We start from the raw sequence: 19,394 nt of genomic DNA, 5'->3' as shown, positions 1-19,394 counted from the left end.
CTGTGTTCTCAGCGTTATCAGGAGGCAGGAGGGTTCAGTTAGTCTCGAAATTGTTAGTATTAGCATTGATCTTTTGCTTAAAGTGGTCTTCTAGTTTTCACCAGTATAAATTTACTATTTTTCCCTTTGTAATTTTTTTTCTTTTTTTTTGGAGACAGGGTCTTGCCCTATTACGCAAGCTTGAGGGCATTGACACAATCATGGTTCACTGCATCTTTGAACTCCTGGGCTCATGTAATCTTCAAGGACTACAGGTGTGAGTCACCATGCCCGGCTAATTTTTAAATTTTTTGTAGAAACAGTCTCACTATGTTGCCCAGGCTGGTCTCGGATTCCTGGGCTTAAGCAATCCTCCTGCATTGGCCTCCCAAAGTGCTGGGATTACAGGCATGATCCCCTTTTGTAATTAATAAGTAGCTTTTCGGGAGATACTTTGAGACTGTAACTCTGCAATTTTTTTTAAATCAAACTTTTACTCACTACTTTAGCATTCATTGGTGATTCTTGCCTGAAGCAATAACTACTCTGATGGTGGCCAAATAATGATTTTTCTTTTACACATATACCTGGGATTTTACTGTGAGGAAGAGCTTTGTCTCTCTCTCTCTCTCTCTCTGGGACTCATAAGATTCTTATTTTATTTTATTTTTTATATTTATTTATTTATTTATTGAAACGGAGTCTCGTTCTGTCACCTAGGCTGGAGCGCAGTGGTGTGATCTCCACTCACTGCAACCTCCACCTCCTGGGTTCAATGGATTCTCCTGCCTCAGCCTCCCGAGTAGCTGGGATTACAGGCACCCGCCACCACACCTGGCTAATTTTTGTATTTTTAGTAGAGACGGGTTTTGCCACGTTGGCCAGGCTGGTCTCGAACTCCTGACCTTAGGTGATCCACCCGCCTCAGCCTCCCAAAGTGCTGGGATTACAGGCATGAGCCACCGTGCCTGGCCAGATTCTTATTTTGTTGATTGACTGATTGATTGTTAGGGTCTCACTGTGTTGCCCAGGCTGGAGGGCAGTGGCTCAATCATAACTCACTGCAGCCTACAACTCCTGGGCTCAAGTGATCCTCCTGCCTCGGCCTCCTGAGTAGCTGGGACTTTTAAAAATTCTTTTCTGGGCCAGGCGCGGTGGCTCACGCCTGTAATCCCAGCACTTTGGGAGGCTGAGATGGGTGGATCACCTGAGGTCAGGAGTTTGAGACCAGCCTGGCCAACATGGTGAAACCCCATCTCTACTAAAAATACAAAAAAATTAGCCAGGTGTGGTGGTGGGCGCCTTGTAATCCCAGCTACTCAGGAGGCGGAGGCAGGAGAATCGCATGAATCTGGGAAGCAAAGGTTGCAGTGAGCTGAGATCACCACTGCACTCCAGCCTGGGTGACAGAGCTAGACTGCAATACTCCGTCTCAAAAAAAAAAAAAAATTCTTTTCTAGAGATGGAGTCTTGCCATGTTGCCCAGCCTGTTCCTGAACTCCTGGCCTCAAGCCATCCTGCCACATCACAAAGTGCTGGGATTACAAGTGTGAGCCACCATGCCTGGCCCCACGCTAGATCTCGAAGAAAAATTATGAGAACTCAAGGTCAAGAAAGGAAGGGAGGGGGGTTCTAGGTAGCTCGCCTGACCTGGGCAAATGCAGAGGGAAATTGAGAGATGGGAATGAGGTGCTACTGGTGACAGGGTCTGTGAGGGTGCACACTCTGGGACGCAGCAGCTGGACAGGGAAGATGAGGCTCCTTTAAGCTGAGACCACAGTGTGTGAGCGTCCTTGAGGGTAGCCCCGGTGTGGGGGTTCCTTTATCCCTCAACCTGGGATCTCACTGCCCCATTCTACAGAGAGAAAGGCAGGACAGGGAGAGAATGAAGCCATCCTTCAGAAATGCGCATGTGCGTATCTTGCCGGTTAGTTCTGTGGCCTGTGCAGGGAGAACACTGTTGTGGCCAAGGGGAGCTTGGGGACGGGTTCTATGTCTGCTGGACATACCTCACCTTGGGACCAGCAGCCACAGTTTCCAGTTCCTACCCAGCTGTTGGCTCACAATGGGACTTTGAAGAAGTCAATCTCTCTAGACCTCGGTTTCTCCATCTGTTTAATGGTATTACTGATGCTCTAGACTCAAGGCCACTTAATTAGGAGTCTGTGGACTAGGGGCATGCAGAGATGGGGTTCCAAAGAGTCCTTGAGCTTACAGCCAACTCTGTAAGTGCTGTCAAAGTCCTCTAGCCAAAACCCCCCAGGAACACATGTGTGGTTGAACAAGTTGGGTTTATTGCTCATTGCAACAAGGGAGGGTGTACACTGTGGGGAACCGTGGGGTGTCTCAGTAAAAGGGAGTTAGAACTTATAATAGGATTGGGGCTTGTGTTCAGTGATTTGGGGGATGGTTTAAGGAAGCAGGGCTTTGCTCTGGATAGGGAGTGGGGCTAATTCTATGATTGGATATCACAATAAATTTTATCTAGAAGGAGGGCAGACTAACTAGAGTGGAGGCTAAAGTTGTCATTGGCCAAAAAAAAAAAAAAAAGTGCATTGTATAGCCAAGTCGGGGAATACTTGGTCATTTTTGTGGTTTGGACAATGTATTCATGTGTCTGTGCTAAGACAAGATGACATACTGATCTTGTTTTTGTCTCGATCCATCACAGTCAGAGTGGCCTTGTCTGATACTGATGTTTTGTGAAATTGTCCGTGTTCAACAGGAGGGCACTAAGGTCTAGCCGTGGGTATCAAGCCAGCTCTGGGATGTCAGGGGCTGCTTGTCTCTTTCTCAGCATGTTCCTAGGGAGCGAGCTCTCAGCTTTCATCAGATTTTCTGGGAAATCTGGAATCTCACAGAGAACCAAATGCTTAGTCTCTAAAACCACTTGTAGCCAGACAGGTGCCGCCCATTTTACAGAGGCTACAACTGAGGCTCAGATGGGATAAGCAGCTCCTATGGCGATGTGAGGTCGTGTGTGTGTGTGTGTGTGTGTGTGTGTGTGTGTGTGTGTGTGTGGCGTAGGCACCAGCAGAGCCTGTGACAATGGTGAAATTAAATCACTCTGTAAAAAACAGTCTTTGTGAAATTAAATGCCTCAGTCTTAAAACCAACGCAGACTATTAGATGTCAGTAAGAAAGACTGTTTGGTTTCTTTTGCAAAGATCAGCTTTTCTTATTTGTGCTTTTTAAAAAGTCGTTTTTATAACCCCGATGAAGGGGAATTTGACATCTAACAAAAATGCATATTTTTCTTTTGCACCAGCGCTCCCACTTCCAGCAATTTACCCTGAAGATACTCCCCCAGACACTGTGAAAATACAAATGCACAAGGTTATTCATTGTGGCACGGTTTATAATTGCAAAATATTGAAAACAATATCACTTCCTATACATAGGCAGTGATTGAATAAACTGTGGTGCAGTCACACAATGGAGTTCTGTGCAACTGTAAAATGATTGAGGAAGACATCTATGAACTGATGAGGAACGATTTCCAGGACATACTGTTTTTTGTTTGTTTGTTTTTTGAAACAGAGTCTTGCTCTGTTGCCCAGGCTGGGTGCACTGGCATGATCTCAGCTCACTGCAACCTCGGCTGCCCGGGTTCAAGTGATTCTCCTGGCTCAGCCTCCCAAATAGCTGGGGCTATAGGTGCACACCTCCACACCGGGCTAATTTTTGTATTTTTGGTAGAGATGGGGTTTCTCCATGTTGGCCAGGCTCTTCTTGAACTCCTGACCTCAGGTGATCCTCCTGCCTCGGCCTCCTGAGTAGCTGGGATTACAGGCGCCTGCCACCACGTCCAGCTAATTTTTGTGTTTTTAGTAGAGACGGGGTTTCACCATGTTGGCCAGGCTGGTCTTGAACTCCTGACTTCAGGTGATCCACCCAGCTCGGCCTCCCAAAGTGCTGGGATTACAGGCATGAGCCACTGCACCCGGCCAGGACATGCTGTTAAGTGGAAAAAGCAAAGTGCAAAAAAGTAAATATAGGATGCAAGCATTCATGTAAGAAACAAGATGATATAAGAAAACATACATGTATTTGTTTATCTTTACAAAAAGAAACATTGGAAGGATAAAGCAGAAACTATTGAGATTGGTTTCCTAGAGGGAATGGGTGAGAGGGATAGAACGGAGAAGTGACAGTGACACCTCTCTGAGTAGACTTTTTGGCCTAGTTCTGACTTTTGAAACCATCTTGTTTCAAATACCTCAAAAATAAATAAAATCAACAAGGATAGGGGAAATTACTGTCAGTGGGGATGTAAAATGGTGCAACAGCTGTGGAAAACAGTATGGAGTTCCGGCCAGGCCAGGTGGCTCATGCCTGTAATCCCAGCGCTTTGGGAGGCCAAGGTGGGGGGATTGCTTGAGGCCAGCAGTTTGAGACCAGCTTGGGCCACACAGTGAGACGACATTTCTACAAAAAATTTTTTTAAAAATTGGCTGGGCACAGTGGCTCATGCCTGTAATCCCAGCACTTTGGGAGGCCAAGGCGGGCAGATCACTTGAGATCAGGAATTCAAGATGGCCAAGATGGTGAAACCCCATCTCTACCAAAAATTAAAAAAAATTAGCCAGGTGTGGTGGCACGTGCCTGTAATCCCAGCTACTCGGGAGGCTGAGGCATGAGAATCACTTGCACCTGGGAGGCGGAAGTTGCAGTGAGCTGAGATTGCACCACTGCACTCCAGCCTGGACAACAGAGTGAGACTATCTCAGAAAAAAAGAAAAAATTAACCAGGCATGGTGGCATGCACCTGTAGTCCCAGCTACTCAGGAGGCTCTAGCGGGAGGATTCCTTGAGCCTAGGAGTTCCAAGCTGCAGTGAGCTGTGATTGTGCCACTGCACTCCAACATGAGTGACAGAGAAAGACCCTGTCTCTAAAATAAAGCAAAAAAAGATCCAGTTTGATATCACTTCCCAGGTCGGGGAGACCCTTCCTACCTCTTGCTTCTGGGATTCCCACACCCTGGGCAGACCCTATCTTCATAAACCTTATCACACAAAAGTGTCTGTCTCCCCACTAGGCAGTGCTGCATCTCTGCTGTCTGTGGCCTCCAGTGCCTGCACTAGGCTCAGCATCTAGACGATGTCTGGCAAGCGTTGACTACAGGACTCCATCAACCAATGAATAGCAGGGGTGACGAAGGGCTGGGTGCTGGCCTCTCCCTGCCTGGAGAGTGCTTGAAATGGGGCCGCCATAGGACTTTTGGGTTTTGGGGAGGTCCTCCTCACCCTGCAGCCCTGTTGTCCTTGGTTCTCTCTCTCTCTCTCTCTTTCTTTTTTTGAGACGGAGTTTCACTCTTGTTGCCCAGGATGGAGTGTAATGGCACGATCTCGGCTTACTGCAACCTCTGCCTTCCAGGTTCAAGCGATTCTCCTGCCTCAGCCTCCCAAGTAGCTGGGATTACAGGCATGTGCCACCACGCCCAGCTAATTTTGTATTTTTAGTAGAGATGGGGTTTCTCCATGTTGGTCAGGCTGGTTTCGAACTCCTGACCTCAGGTGATTCACCTGCCTCAGCCTCCCAAAGTGCTGGGATTACAGGCATGAGCCACCGCACCCGGCCGCCCTTGGTTTTCTACCCCACCCTACCTGCAAACTGCTGCCCTTCTTCCTTCTAGAGCCAGCTGAGGTCTCTCCACAGCTCCTGGCACCCTAGGGCCTCCTGGCATATCATCTGCTGACCCAGTTTCCTCTGGCACCCTGAGATCTGACTGCACTACTCTCACACCAAGCTATCAAGGCTGAGGACTTTTCCTGACCAAGTCTGACACCTGGAAGGCTGGCAGCCCTGGGCAGAGGGATTGGTTCACTACTGAGCCCCATCCCCTGCACGGGGTGTCATTCTTAGGACACATCCTCAATTGTCCTCCTGGCTCTTACTCCTTGTGAAGGACAACATCATTCGACAGAGCTAACAGCACCCAGTGCTCCTGGCAGAGGTCTTGGGATGGTTTCTTAGCATAAAGATTCAGCTACACTCAGGAAAATTCAGAAGCTGCTGCTCTTGAGGAAATTCTTTTTTTTTTTTTGAAGACAGAGTCTTGCTCTGTCACCCAGGCTGGAGTGCAGTGGCACACAATCTTGGCTGACTGCAACCTTTGCCTCCCAGGTTCAAGCAATTCTCTTGCCTCAGCCTCCCAAGCAGCTGGGATTAAAGGCACCCGCCACCACGCAAGATGAATTTTTGTATTTTTGTAGAGACGGGGTTTCACCATGTTGACCAAGCTGGTCTTGAACTCCTGACCTCAAGTAATCCACCTGCCTTGGCCTCCCAAAATGTTGGGATTACAGGTATGAGCCACCGCACCCGGCCCCCTTGAGGAAATTCTTAGAGTCCCAACTGGAAGTGGCTTTGACCTTCTGGCCCTCTTCCCTCAGCAACGTGGCCATGCATCCTGCAAGCCCTCCAAGCCCTGCAGAGCCAGGTAAATTGGGGTGCACATGCCTGATTCCCCTGACCACATTGTTTCCCTGGTATGTGTCCCCAAAGCGTGTGGTGTGGACCAGAGTTTATGCTTGGATCTGTACACCCACCAGACATCTCAGCATCCCACTGTCCATCTGTCCATCCATCTCAGGGACAGTTTCTGTAAATGGCGTTCTTCCTGAAGTCTTTTTCTTTCTTTGAATTGCAGGCTGGGGGTTGGCACATGTGTCTCTTTGGGGCCTGGAGCAAAAGCGGGCTGGCTACCCCAGGCCAGCTTCCCCAGGCCTCTGGCCACACTCTGGGTGCTGGCTCTTTTGCTCAAAAGCCATCCCTGGCACCCCAGGACTAGGAATTAAAGCCCCTGCTCAGCTTCCAAATGCCAACTTCTTTTATTTTATTATTATTTTTGAGACAGTCTCACTTTGTCGCCTAGGCTGGAGTACAGCAGCGTGATCTTGGTGCTCACTGCAACCTCCGCCTCCCGGGTTCAAGCGATTCTCCTGCCTCAGCCTTTGGAGTAGCTAGGATTACAGGTGCCCACCACCATACCCGGCTAATTTTTGTATTTTTAGTAGAGATGGGGTTGCACCATGTTGGCCAGGCTGGTCTCGAACTCCTGGCCTCAGGTGATCTGCCCGCCCCAGCCTCCCAAAGTGCTGGGATTACAGGCATGAGCCACTGCACCCAGCCCAAGTGCCAACTTCTGCCTCAGCCCTTCATCCACCCTGCGCTTTAACCACACTCATTCTCTCTTACACCTCCCAGGGTTTATCTACGCTGTTCCCACTTCTAGGAATGTCCTTCCTCCTCCTCTCTCCTGGCAACACCAAGAGATCTGTCAGCACTCGGCTAAAATGTCAGGGTCATAATCAAATGCTCCCTGGGGTAACCACAGCATTGATCACAGAATCATGCAGCGAGATTTGCCTGTGGATGTCTCTCCAGTTAGACTGGGAGGGCTGAAAGAGCAGGAGGGGATATGACTCATCTCTGTGCTCCCAATGCATGGCACAAAGCTGGAGCCACAGCAGTGACCAGTTATGTGGGTGTGCGGATGGGTGGCTAGATAAACAGATGAATGAATAGTGGGTAAGTGGGTGAATCATGGGTGGATGAATGGGCGCAAGGCTAAGTGAGTGGTTGAGTAGATGAACTGTGGGTATCTACAAGAAAGAGCGGGTTGATAACAATTCTAATGTTCTAACCTGCTCCATCTGCTTCCCAATCCTCTTCTCTGACCCTCTCACACAGAACTCATCCTTAATGGTTGGATGAACTGACTTCTCTCTGCCAAGAAATCAGTGTTAGGAACAGACACTCGATGAATATACACCTACACAACAGCTTTGCAGCAGAGCTGAACTGACAGGCTGATAGCTAGACAGACAGGTCCCTCAGAGGAGGGGAGCAGAAGAGCCGGGAGCTCAGATGCGCCTGGGAGGGCCATCTGCTCTGAATGGAGACAGAACATGGGAAGGAGGTTGCTCTCTCCTCCCGGGGCTGCCTTTGAGCTGCCTGGTCCATTGAGTACTTGGCACACTCCCTGACATCTCCCCATCCTTTTGCCACACGGCCCTAAATCTCACTAGAAGATTAAGTCACATCCAGTGAGGCTTTGCCTTCTTCAGAATCTGGTAGTCATTGACATTTTAGTATAAATTGCCTTTTAATCTGTCATGGGAGGCAGAATTTCCGAGTTTAGGAGTGATGGGGTAACTTTACAGCATAAAGCTGAGCACCTGAAAGTGGTAGGCAGAGAGGGACTAAGGCTGCCAGTGGTTTTACTTAAGGATTCAGCGGTGGCCTACTGTATTGGGCAGGCATTCCTTTTACCAACTCAGCACCTCTTTCCTCTTCTATGAAAGACCACCTTCTTTCTTTCTTTCTTTTCTTTTCTTTTTTTTTTGAGACAGGGTCTCATTCTGTCACCCAGGCTGGAGTGCAGTGGAGTGAGAGGTGCAGCCTCTCACTCCAGGGCTCAAGAGATCAGCCTCCCAAGTAGCTGGGACTACAGGCATGCACCACCACACCAAGCTAATTTTTGTATTTTTTGTAGAGACGGGGTTTCACTATGTTGTCTAGGCTGGTTTTGAACTCCTGGCCTCAAGTCAGCCTCCCAGTGTTCTCGGATTACACATGTGAACCATCATGTCTGACCTCCATTTTCTTTTTTTTCTTTTTTTTTTCTTTTTGAGATGCAGTCTCGCTCTGTCACCCAGGCTGGAGTGCAGTGGCATGATCTTGGCTCACCGCAACCTCTGCCTCCCGGGTTCAAGCAATTCTTCTGCCTCAGTCTCCCATGTAGCTGGGATTACAGGCGCGTGCCACCACGCCTGGCTAATTTTGTATTTTTAGTAGAGATGGGGTTTCACCATGTTGGCCAGGCTGGTCTTAAACTCCTGACCTTGTGATCCGCCCGCCTCAGACTCCCAGAGTGCTGGGATTACAGGTGTGAACCAACACACCCGGCTGGACCTCCATTTTCTTTTAGCAACCCCCTTCCTCCTCACCTCACTCCAGTGCATGTTGTTCTTGTGGGGCTAACTCCCCCACCTCCCTGCTCCCACCTATATCTTCAGGAGTGGACTCATGACTAGACCAGCCAATCAGAGCAATCTGTCATTGTGACCACAGGGTCAGGAATGGGTGTGACTCAAGCCAGGCCACATGATCTAAAGCTGGAACTGAAGGGAAAGAGGCTTTGCTGTCCTCTGGGACTCCTTGCTGTTTAGGGATAGGCGAGGCAGCCACCACCTGGGAGAGCCTGCCGAGGGCCAAGCTCTCAAAGATAAATCAGACCTCCTGGACAGAGAGAGAGAGTCCTCAGACACGCTGTGCATGGCCAAAGCTCACTCTGTCCCAGGTCTCTTCCATTACCTGAGTAATTATTCCCTTTTACCTTAAGCTGGTTTGACTGGAGTGTCTGCCACTTACAACTCACAGAACCCTGAAGAATACATCCACCTTCCTGCCCTCTCAGCCCACATGGGGTTATCGTCCCATTTTGCAGATTGGACCTCTGAGGTCAGAGCATGCCAGCCACAGAGGAGAGTCTGGACTGGAAGGGACCCCAGAGGCCACTGAGTCCATCCCCCCAACCCAACCCCCACAAGTTCCCCAGGTAGGCCTCAGGAGTGGTCTGGCTGCAAACCTCCCCTTCACTGGCCACAAAACTTGGGCAACTTGACTCTCAACTTGCTGGGCAGCTTCCTATGCTGTGGCGGGGACTGGGTTTTGCCTTTGTGTGGCGGGGACTGGGTTTTCCCTTTGTGTCTGGTGTACTTTGTCTCTAATGGCAGGGCCTGGGCTGGGAAAGGGTCAGCCTCCAGCCGTTACACCCTTGGAGAACATTTGTTCTTCCCCAAAAGGCGGCTGCAAAGGTCCTCAGCAACTCACAGCTCCGAAGTGCCCATTGTACAGATGGGGAAACCGAGACCCTAAGAGGTGATTTCTCCTAGGGCACCCCACCATTTCCTGTCAAGAACTCACCACTCCTTGTGCTCCTCCTCATTTGTGCCTTGGGCTTCAGGATCTCCTGGATGGCAACATGGGGGTTCCAGAGAGCAGGTCAGGCCTGTTTTCCCTGGCCAGGAGTCTGAGTTTCCTGATCCATCACCCGGGGAACACTTGTTGGGTGTTTCATCCAAGGATGGAGCAGCTGGGTCCTGCTAGGCCAGCATCTCGAGGGGGCCCCAAGCATCCCTTCAAAAATGTCCACCACTGGAAGTTCTGCAAGTCAAACAGACCTAATGACTAACAGCTGATAAATATTGAGCGTTTACTCTGTGCCGGGCAATTTGAAGAGCTTCGTGTCCATAATCTCATTTAATCTTCTCCACATCATATAAGGCAGGAACCGGAACTAACTACATTTTATAGATAAGGAAGCTGGGGCCCAGCAGTTGAAATAGTATACCTAGAATAAAGCTTTCCTATGGTCATCACCAGCATAGCAGTTCAGGATGGCAATGGGGGCATTTCAGCACTTCCCCTGGCCAGGACCACCTGGGGTGGGGTGGACGGCTGGTTGTGTCGTGGGTCTGAATCAAGGCACAGCACAGAGGGTGGGACCTGACAGATGACCCCCTCATCTCAGAAGGTCACTCCATATCCCCATGGTGGAGGTGTGTCACAGCCCTCCATTCCATTCCACACCTGGGCACAGCATATCCCCCTCCTTCCAGGAGCAGGGCAGCACCCAGAGTAGCTTGAGTTCAGCTCTGCCTTCCAGTCCCAGTCCATGAGGGTCACTTCAAGCAAGTCCCTTCTCCCCCAGCTTGGTGATCTCATCTGTACTGTGAGCTGGTAGATGCAATTAAAAAATTATTTCCAAAATGGTAACATCACGACTCCTACAAATATAAAGTGAACATGTGTCAAGGATTTTTAGATCATTTATTTATTTATTTTTGAGACAGAGTCTCACTCTGTCGCCCAGGCTGGAGTGCAGTGGTGCAATCACAGCTTACTGCAGACCTTGACCTCCCTGGCATCAGATGATCCTCCCACCTCAGCCTCCTGAGTAGCTGGGACTACACACGCTCACCACCACTCCCAGCTAATTTTTGTACTTTTTGTAGAGACAGGGTTTTGCCTTGTGGCCCAGGCTGCTCTTGAACTCCTGGGCTGAAGTGATCCACCCGCCTCGGCCTCCCAAAGTGTTGAGATTACAAGCATGAGCCACCATGCCTGGCCCAGATCATTTATGAATGAGGGAACTGGTAATATGTTACACTAGGCTCAGAGGAGAATCTGAAGAACAAGCATATATAAACTCCCAGAGATACTGCAATGGATTTGCCAATAGATGCAATATAATATCTGGAATAATCTTTTTCTACAGGATAGAGATCAGCTGTATCTCTACAGGACAAAATTCATTTATTATGGATGGGAATTATCAGTCCTGCACAGGTTAACTTCTCTCTACAGAGGTGCAAAATGGCCCAGCCAAAGACAAAAGTGCAGCCCGCTATAGAATCAGATACGCCATAAGGGGCTTGGGTAGACCACATCCAGTGTTCCATTGAAAGGACACCTGGGGAATAGTTTTGTCCATTTAAAAGTTTTTTACAATTTTTCCTGATAAGCATAGGGCTGCGCTAGACAATGGCTGAGTATTTTTTTCCAGCTCAGAGACATCCCGGGTGAAGGTATGCCTGGCTCTGGGGCCATGTTCACTTTCTGCGCATGTCCAGATTTCCTTTGCCTTTAAAAACCTGGACACTGAGGGGCGCCACTAGCTCACATAATGCCTGCGTGAACTTTAGAAAAGGATGCCCCTTCCTCCTGATGGACGCGGCCCCAGGCCAGGCCCCAGTGATGCTAGAGGAGCCCAGGGTGCATTCCTGCTCCCAGTGTCCTCTGTGGCCAGGCAACTTTTGTTAGAGCACAGCCTGCACAACTGTGCCCAGTGGCCTGTGGCTGCCTGGCGTTCTGCAGTCAGTATTGTTGACCTTCTGGAGGATCTAAAAGAAAGCCATTGGCTCAGAGCCAGGCGTGGTAGCTCGCACCAGTAGCTGAGGACGGAGGATCAGTTGTGAGATCAAGGCTGCAGTGAGCTATGATTGTGCCACTGCATTCCAGCCTGGGTGACAGAGTGAAACCCCTCCACCCCAGTCTCTGGAAAAAAAAAAAAAAAAAGAAGCCATTGGCTTGGGGTTGAAGTGGGGGCACAAGAAGGTCTTGACTCCGCACCTGGGAGCTTTTTGGGGTGAAGCTGATCAGGACTGGGGTGCCATGACTGGAAGGGGAGATTTGTGTCCATGTACCCCTAGGGGCCCATGCATGGGAATGCTCATGTTTTCAGCTGTGCCAATGGGCTTGGATCTTGGTGTCTGTGCAAGTATACCCTTGGGGGACCACTCTACATCTGGGCCAGCTTGGAATTCAGGAGCAGCAACATCCTTCTCCAGCTGGGGTCAGGAGGAAGGTTGTGGGTTCCTGTGCCTCCCCTGCTATGGTCGGGTGGGTTGGTGGGGGACCAGGGTTCGTGATGGACGTGCCCCCTCCTAGCCCAGGGTTTCAACCCCACCAGGCTTCCCCCATGCTGACTGGCCTGTGGCCATGGCTCCCCCAGCCCATTTCCAAGCTTTGCCTCTGGGGCAGGGTGTAAAGACTCTGAAGTGGCAGAGGAGCAGGAGGGTGGCCCAATCTTGGGGAGCAGCCAGCTGCCTGCCCACTGTCCATGGGCTCCTCTCTCAGGCTAAATGCTTCCCGGGGCCTGGGCTGCAGACAGGCAGGCCATGTGACAATGGAGAAGACCGAGGCCCAGAAAGGGGAGGCAGCTTACCCTGGGCCCCAGGGGCCCGTGGAATCCTGGACAGTTCTTTCTTTTTTTTTTTGAGACAGAGTTTCACTCTTGTTGCCCAGGCTGGAGTGTAATAGCGTGATCTCGGCTCAATGCAGTCTCCTCCTCCCGGGTTCAAGCAATTCTTCTGCCTCAGCCTCCCAAGTAGCTGGGATTACAGACATGTGCCACTGCGCCTGCCTAATTTTGTATTTTTAGTAGGGACGGGGGTCTCTCCATGTTGGTCAGGCTGGTCTTGAACTCCCAACCTCAGGTGATCCGCCTGCCTCGGCCTCCCAAAGTGCTGGGATTACAGGCGTGAGCCACTGCGCCCAGCCTGGACAGCTCTTTAAGCCTAAACTGCCTGTTACAGGGACAGAGAGAACTACCCCCGCCCCCAGCTCCAAACTCTGGTTCATCTCTGGGCTCCTCCCAGGCCTGGGTACTTGGTCTTCTACAAATGATAAAAGAGCTGGATGCAGCTTCCTGGCTGAGCAAACACTGTTTTCCCACTCCCAGACATTAGTCTTCTGAGTGTCCCTTGTCGTCTGTCCCCCTACCCCATCCCTGCAGTCCAACTCCTCTCCATTGCTGTGGGCCCTGTCACTGCCTCTTCCTACCCCTCCCCTCTAGGAAGCCTGCCCCGAGCCTCCAGGCCCAAGTGTTTTCTCCCTAACCCTAACCCTAAGCCTTGCTCCCAGGGACTTCCTGACCCTTCTGCTTCCTATCATGGTGACTCACAAGCATTGCTCATCTTCCCAGCCCTCCGGAGCCTGGCCACATTGTCTCTGGGGGCTGAAAGAAGGAAGCTCTAGCTTTCTCTCAGATAACAAGGTTTGAGACAAGTAAAATGGCCCCAAATTTCACTCCCTTAGCTCTGCTGAAACCTGGATTCATGGAGGTAGCGCATCCCTTGATTTTCTTTATGATCCCCAGCCAGGTGTAGGTAGAGGTAAATCTGCACACAGATCCCTCCATGGTGCTACATATGCATGCATGAATGCCATCTGTGGTCCCCCAAGGGTACACATACACAGACACCAAGATCCAAGGCCATTGGCACCGCTGAACACGTGAGCATACTCATGCATGGGTTCCTAGGGATACATGTACACACATGCCCAGACCCAGGTCCTTGGACACACTTGAAGCCATGCGCACACACATGCATGGACCTCCAGAGTTACACATGCACACATACACACATGCACATGCACACACACACGCGCACACACACACACACACACACACACACACGGGCACCCTGAGGTACCTGTACACAGACACCGAGGCCTGGGTCCATGGGCACACCTGATCACATCCACACACCCATGCACGTTCACACAGGTTATATGTTCACAAATACCCAGACTGAGGCCCACGGACAAATATGCACCTGCAGTACACACTCACACCTTTATGGGCATCCAGGGGGTATATGTACACAGACAGCCAGACCTGAGCCCATAGGCACACTTGCACTTTTGCACACACACATGCATGGTGCCCAGAGGTACATGTGTACAGACACCACAATCTAGGTTCCTGGGCACTTGTGCATCTGTGCACACACACACGTGGGAAATCCCTGCAGCCATGCATACAGCATGCCCACGTACATGTGCACAGACATCTACGCCCAGGCCCTTGTGTACCTGTTCACTCACACTTGCACGGGGCGGGGGGGGCGGTGCCCAGGGGTATACATGCATAGATACTAGACTTACCAGCTTGGGCCAATGTGCTCCCCTTCACTTACGCACTCACACACAGCCATGCATGTGCACGCTGGCATACACATGTATATACACAGACACAAACACTCAGGCTAGCACCCACGGACATAGGGCTTTGCACATAGAATCTCATATATAAGTACACCCTCACACATATGCACAGTTGCTTTTCACAAACACCCCTGTCAGGGAACAGGTCCCCATGTGCCTGCTACACCCTAGCATCTCCATGAGAATTCACACTTGAACTTCTGTTGCCCATATGCACTTATAACCATACCTGCATTCAAAACAGCAAAGCATGAATGCACACACATGTGCCATGTATGCATGCATGCACAAAAGGACTAATGTGCACACACATGGGCATAAGCACACCACGCACTCCTGCATAACTTCACACGTACTGGTACGCACACACCTATGTGCGGGCATGCATACCAATTATCCCGAGGCTCTTCTCCACCAACCCTGCATAACTGGTGATGGCTCCCAGCTCTGGCATCGGGCAGAACTTTCTTGTGAGGTACGGGCTGTGACTCATAATTCACTCCAGCTTTCCTCAGCTCCTGTGTCATCTAGAGAGACTCAGAACACTTGCCCCTTCCCTTGGGCTGCCACCAAGCCTGAGATGACACCACACCTATTCTCCCGAACCAAGGCATCGAGCAACCTGGCATGAACCAGGTGTGGGTGGAGTGTTAGAGGAAGCCTTGGGGCAGTTCTGAAAGCTCCCCAAGCAATTATTAGTCATTTTGTTATGTGGCAGAGGATATTCCATGGACACCGCCCCCAGAACCTGCAGGAGTGCCACGGATTTCATTCCAGGCTTGCCCTGGGCCCCTCCTGCTGCTCCAGAGCCCCCTTCAGCTAGACGAGGAGGATGTGCTGAATTTTCCTTCCTTCACTTGAGCACTGGCTCCCCTCATACCTGGCCAACACGAGTCTCTTGAAATCAGCCTTGAAACTGAGAGCCAATTAGCTGCTCAGACTGCCTTAACAAAATACCTCAGACTGGGTGGCTTAAACCACAGACGTTTATTTTCTCACAGTTCTGGAGGCTGGAAGTTCAAGATCAAGGTGCCGGTAGGGTTGGTTTCTGGTGAGGCTTCTCTTTCTGGCTCGTAGACAGCCACCTTCTTTCTCTGTCCTCATGTGGCTTTTCCTTTGTGCGCCCACAGGGAGAGAGGGAGGGAGCTCAGGCATCTCTTCCCTCTCTAATGAGGACACCGGTTCTATCAGATTAGGACCCTGCCCTTATGGCCTCATTTAATCTTAATTACCCCCATCTCCAAATACAGTCACATTGAGGATTAAAGCTTCAACAAAGGAATTTGCTGAATTCACAATTCAGTTCACAGCAGACAACAAAGGGAGCACTACCTTGAGCAGTTGAGGGAGGCCCCGGCTCCCTCCTTTTCCTCAGGTGCATTCCTGAGATGTGTTTGTGCAGGAAGGAGAGGGGTAAGGACAGGCATGAGCACAGCCTCTCTTGCAGAAATAGAAATCTTTATTGCTTGCAAAGTACTGCACTTTTTTTGTTTTGTTTTGTTTTTTGTTTTTTCTTCAAAACAGGGTCTTGCTCTGTTGTCCAGGCTGGAGGGCAGCAGCATGATCTCAGCTCACTGCCGCCTCAATCTCCCAGGCTAAAACGATCCTCCCACCTCAGCCTCCCAAAGTGCTGGGATTACAGGCATGAGCCACCATGCCTGGCCAGTACTGCACATTTTCCAAAAGTTATAACTTAAATGTAAAGAGTTATAATTTACATACGATAAAGTTCACCCTTTTGGCATACAGTTCTCTGAGTTTTGACAAACAATAACAGTTGAGTAGCCGCCACCACAGCAGCCAGAGGGATCCTGTTGCAACCCAAGTCAGCCCGGGGCCCTCCTCTGCTCGGAGCCCTGCCATGGCTCTCATCTCTCTCAGAGAAAAAGCCAAAGTCCTCTCCGTGGCCCACGAGGCCCTCCGGGCCCTCCTTGACCTCACCGCCCGCCACTGGCTCCTTGTTCACTCTGCTCCTGCCCCACTGGCCTGTTCTTCAAATGTGCCAGGCACCTCAGGGCCATTGCCTCAGGGCCCTTGCCTTTCTTTCTTTTTTTTGAGACAGAGTCTTGGCCTATCACCCAGGCTGGAGTGCAGTGGCACAACCTCAGCTCACTGCAACCTCCGCCTCCCAGGTTCAAGTGATTCTCCTGCCTCAGCCTCCCAAGTAGCTGGGATTACAGGTATGTGCCACCACGCCTGGCTAATTTTTGTATTTTTAGTAGAGACGGGGTTTCACCATGTTGCCCAGGCTGGTCTCAAACCCCTGACCTCAGGTGATCCACCCACCTTGGCCTCCCAAAGTGTTGGGATTACAGGTGTGAGCCACCACATCCGGCCCTTCGCCTTTCCCTGGATCACTCTTCCTCTAGATACACCCTCCCAGCTCACACTGACAGGGAAGAGTGCACTCCCAGGTTTACACTGACTGCTATAGGGACCTTCCCAGGGTCACACAGCCTGGGGTGTGGATCCTCTTGGAATCACACAGGTGAGGGTGTAGACACTCATGATGTTACTAGATTTTGGAGTAAGAAATCCTGAGGTCATGCTGATTGTGGTGTAGCCACTTCTGGGGTCACACAGAGTAGGGTGTGGCCACTGCTGAAGCATCACAGACCGGGATGTGTTCTCTTAGGGTCATACAGATTGGTGTGTGGGCAACACTGGAGTCACGCAGACTGGAGTGACTTGGATCACCGAGTTTGGGGTGTGGACACTTAGGGTCACACAGTCTGGAAAAAGGACATGGCTAAGGATACATAAACTGGGAAGTCAGCACCACTGTGGTCAAGTGACTGTGATGTGGACACTCCTGGATTCCCATAGGTTCGTCTGGGGACACTCCTGTGGTTACACGACTTGTGAAGTAGACTCTGCTGGGGTCACACAGACCCAGCTGTGGATATGCTTCGTCTGTGTGACTGGGGGGTGAATGTCCCCTGAGTGACAAAGATTGGCGAAGGGACACCCTTGGGCTCCCAAGACTTGGTGTAGATCCTTCTAGACTCCCACTGACTGGGGGGAGGGACACTCCTGGAGTCACACAGACTTTGTTGTGGACACTGTTGGTGTCATACCCACTGGAGTATAGACACCTCTCAGGACATGCAGATAGGTGTGGACACTCCTGTGGTCACACAATTTGGTGTGAACATTCCTCTGGTCACACTGACTGGGGAATTGACTCCTGTGTGTTTACAGACACTGGGGTGTGAAGACTCCTATGGTCACACAGACAGGGCTGTGCCCTCCCCTGGGTCACCCAGACTGGAATGTGGACCCACCAGTAGTCACTGGCACTGGAGTTTTACACTCCTGTGGTCACAATGACAGGGGAGTCGATAGTCTTCTGGTCGTACAGATGGGGGAGTGCACCTGCCTGAGGCCGTCAAGATGGGTATAGACACACTAATAGCCAGAGACTATGGGGTTTGGACAACACCAGGGTCACATATGCTGGGAACTGGACATTACTTGTGTCATAAAAACTTGGGTGGGGACACTCCTGAGGTGGCTGGACTGGGGCAAAACCACTCCCAGGACACCACAGACTGAGCTGTGGACTCCTCTGTGGTCACCGTTTGAGCTACACATTTATGGCACCACTAAGATGGCTATGGAAACTCCAAGCCATTGCCACTGCTGGACTCACAGAACCTGGCGTGAGGACACTCCTGAGGTCTCACAGGCTGTCGTGTGAACGCTGCTGAATTTGCACTGTAATGGGTGTGGCTACGCCTGTGGTCACACGGCCTTTTGTGTGGACACTTCCGCCATACATTCTTGGGCTGTGCATATTCACAGATTGGGGTGTGGGCATTCCTGTGGTCACACTGACTTCGGTGAGAAGACTCCTGGGTTAAGTCACCATGGTGTGGACACTCCTAGACTGACACAAACTGGGGTCTGGACATTCCTGGAGTCACACAGACTGGGGTGTGGTTATTTTCGTGGTCAGAGACCGGAGTGTAGACATGCCTATGAACACACGCTCCAGAATTTAAACACCATTTCTGACTGGAGATTGGACAATGGTTTTCCCAGACTTGAGTGTGCATACTCCTGGGGTCACACATGGTAACTGGGGTGAGTCACAGTCAGGTGTGGAAACAGCTGGGGTCGCAGACTGGTATGTGGATACTCCTGAGGTCACTGGACTGTGGCGTGGATAGTCCTTGGATCACAGAGTACGTGAATTTCTAAGGACACAGGATTAAGCTGTAGAAAACAGTTCTGTTCGTGTAGCTGGGGAGTTTCTGTCAGCTCCTGTTCATTAAGTTATAGAAATTTAGGACTGCAGTCCAGGTAGACTTTCTGACATTGCTTTTTTTTTTTGAGACAGAGTCTCACTCTGTCGTCCAGGCTGGAGTGCAGTGGCGCGACCTCGGCTCACTGTAACCTTCATCTCCCGGGTTCAGGTGATTCTCCTGCCTCAGTCTCCTGAGTAGCTGGGATTACAGGCATGTGCCACCGCACCCAGCTAATTTTTGTATTTTTGGTAGAGACGGGTTTCACTATGTTGGCCAGACTGGTCTCAAACTCCTGACCTCAAGTGATCCGCTTGCCTCAGCCTCCCAAAGTGCTGGGATTACAGGCGTGAGCCACCACGCCTGGCCCTGACGTTTCTTTAAGACAGGTTTTTAACCTAAAAAATTTGTTCTGAAGTCTGGGTGCGGTGGTTCACGCATGTAATCCCAGCACTTTGGGAGGCCGAGGTGGGTGGATCACCTGAGGTCAGGAGTTCGAGACCAGCCTGGACAAAATGGTGAAACCCCGTCTCTACTAAAAATACGAAAATTAGCCGGGTGTGGTGGCGGGTGCCTGTAATCCCAGTTACTCGGGAGGCTGAGGCAGGAGAATCGCTTGAACCCAGGAGGCAGAGGTTGCAGTGAGC

The 19,394-nt window shown here is 50.7% G+C and overlaps 2 annotated features.

Annotated features, from left to right (window-relative positions):
* Positions 8,808–9,328: a transcriptional cis regulatory region, noted in NCBI's record as "intergenic|chrX:48354985-48355505 region (GRCh37/hg19 assembly coordinates) targeted for CRISPR interference". NCBI's record gives its function as "negatively regulates PLP2 gene expression in K562 cells {active_cell/tissue: K562}" and the evidence as "EXISTENCE:mutant phenotype evidence [ECO:0000015][PMID:31784727]".
* Positions 16,604–16,837: a silencer, noted in NCBI's record as "fragment chrX:48347476-48347709 (GRCh37/hg19 assembly coordinates)". NCBI's record gives its function as "represses an EF-1alpha promoter that drives an FKBP-Casp9 reporter gene in an ReSE screen in phorbol 12-myristate 13-acetate-treated (for megakaryocytic differentiation) K562 erythroleukemia cells {active_cell/tissue: K562(+PMA)}" and the evidence as "EXISTENCE:reporter gene assay evidence [ECO:0000049][PMID:32094911]".

Source organism: Homo sapiens, chromosome X (genome assembly GCF_000001405.40).
Source record: "Homo sapiens chromosome X, GRCh38.p14 Primary Assembly".
Taxonomy (NCBI): Eukaryota; Metazoa; Chordata; class Mammalia; order Primates; family Hominidae; genus Homo; species Homo sapiens.
This window is presented reverse-complemented; position numbering and strand designations above follow the sequence as displayed.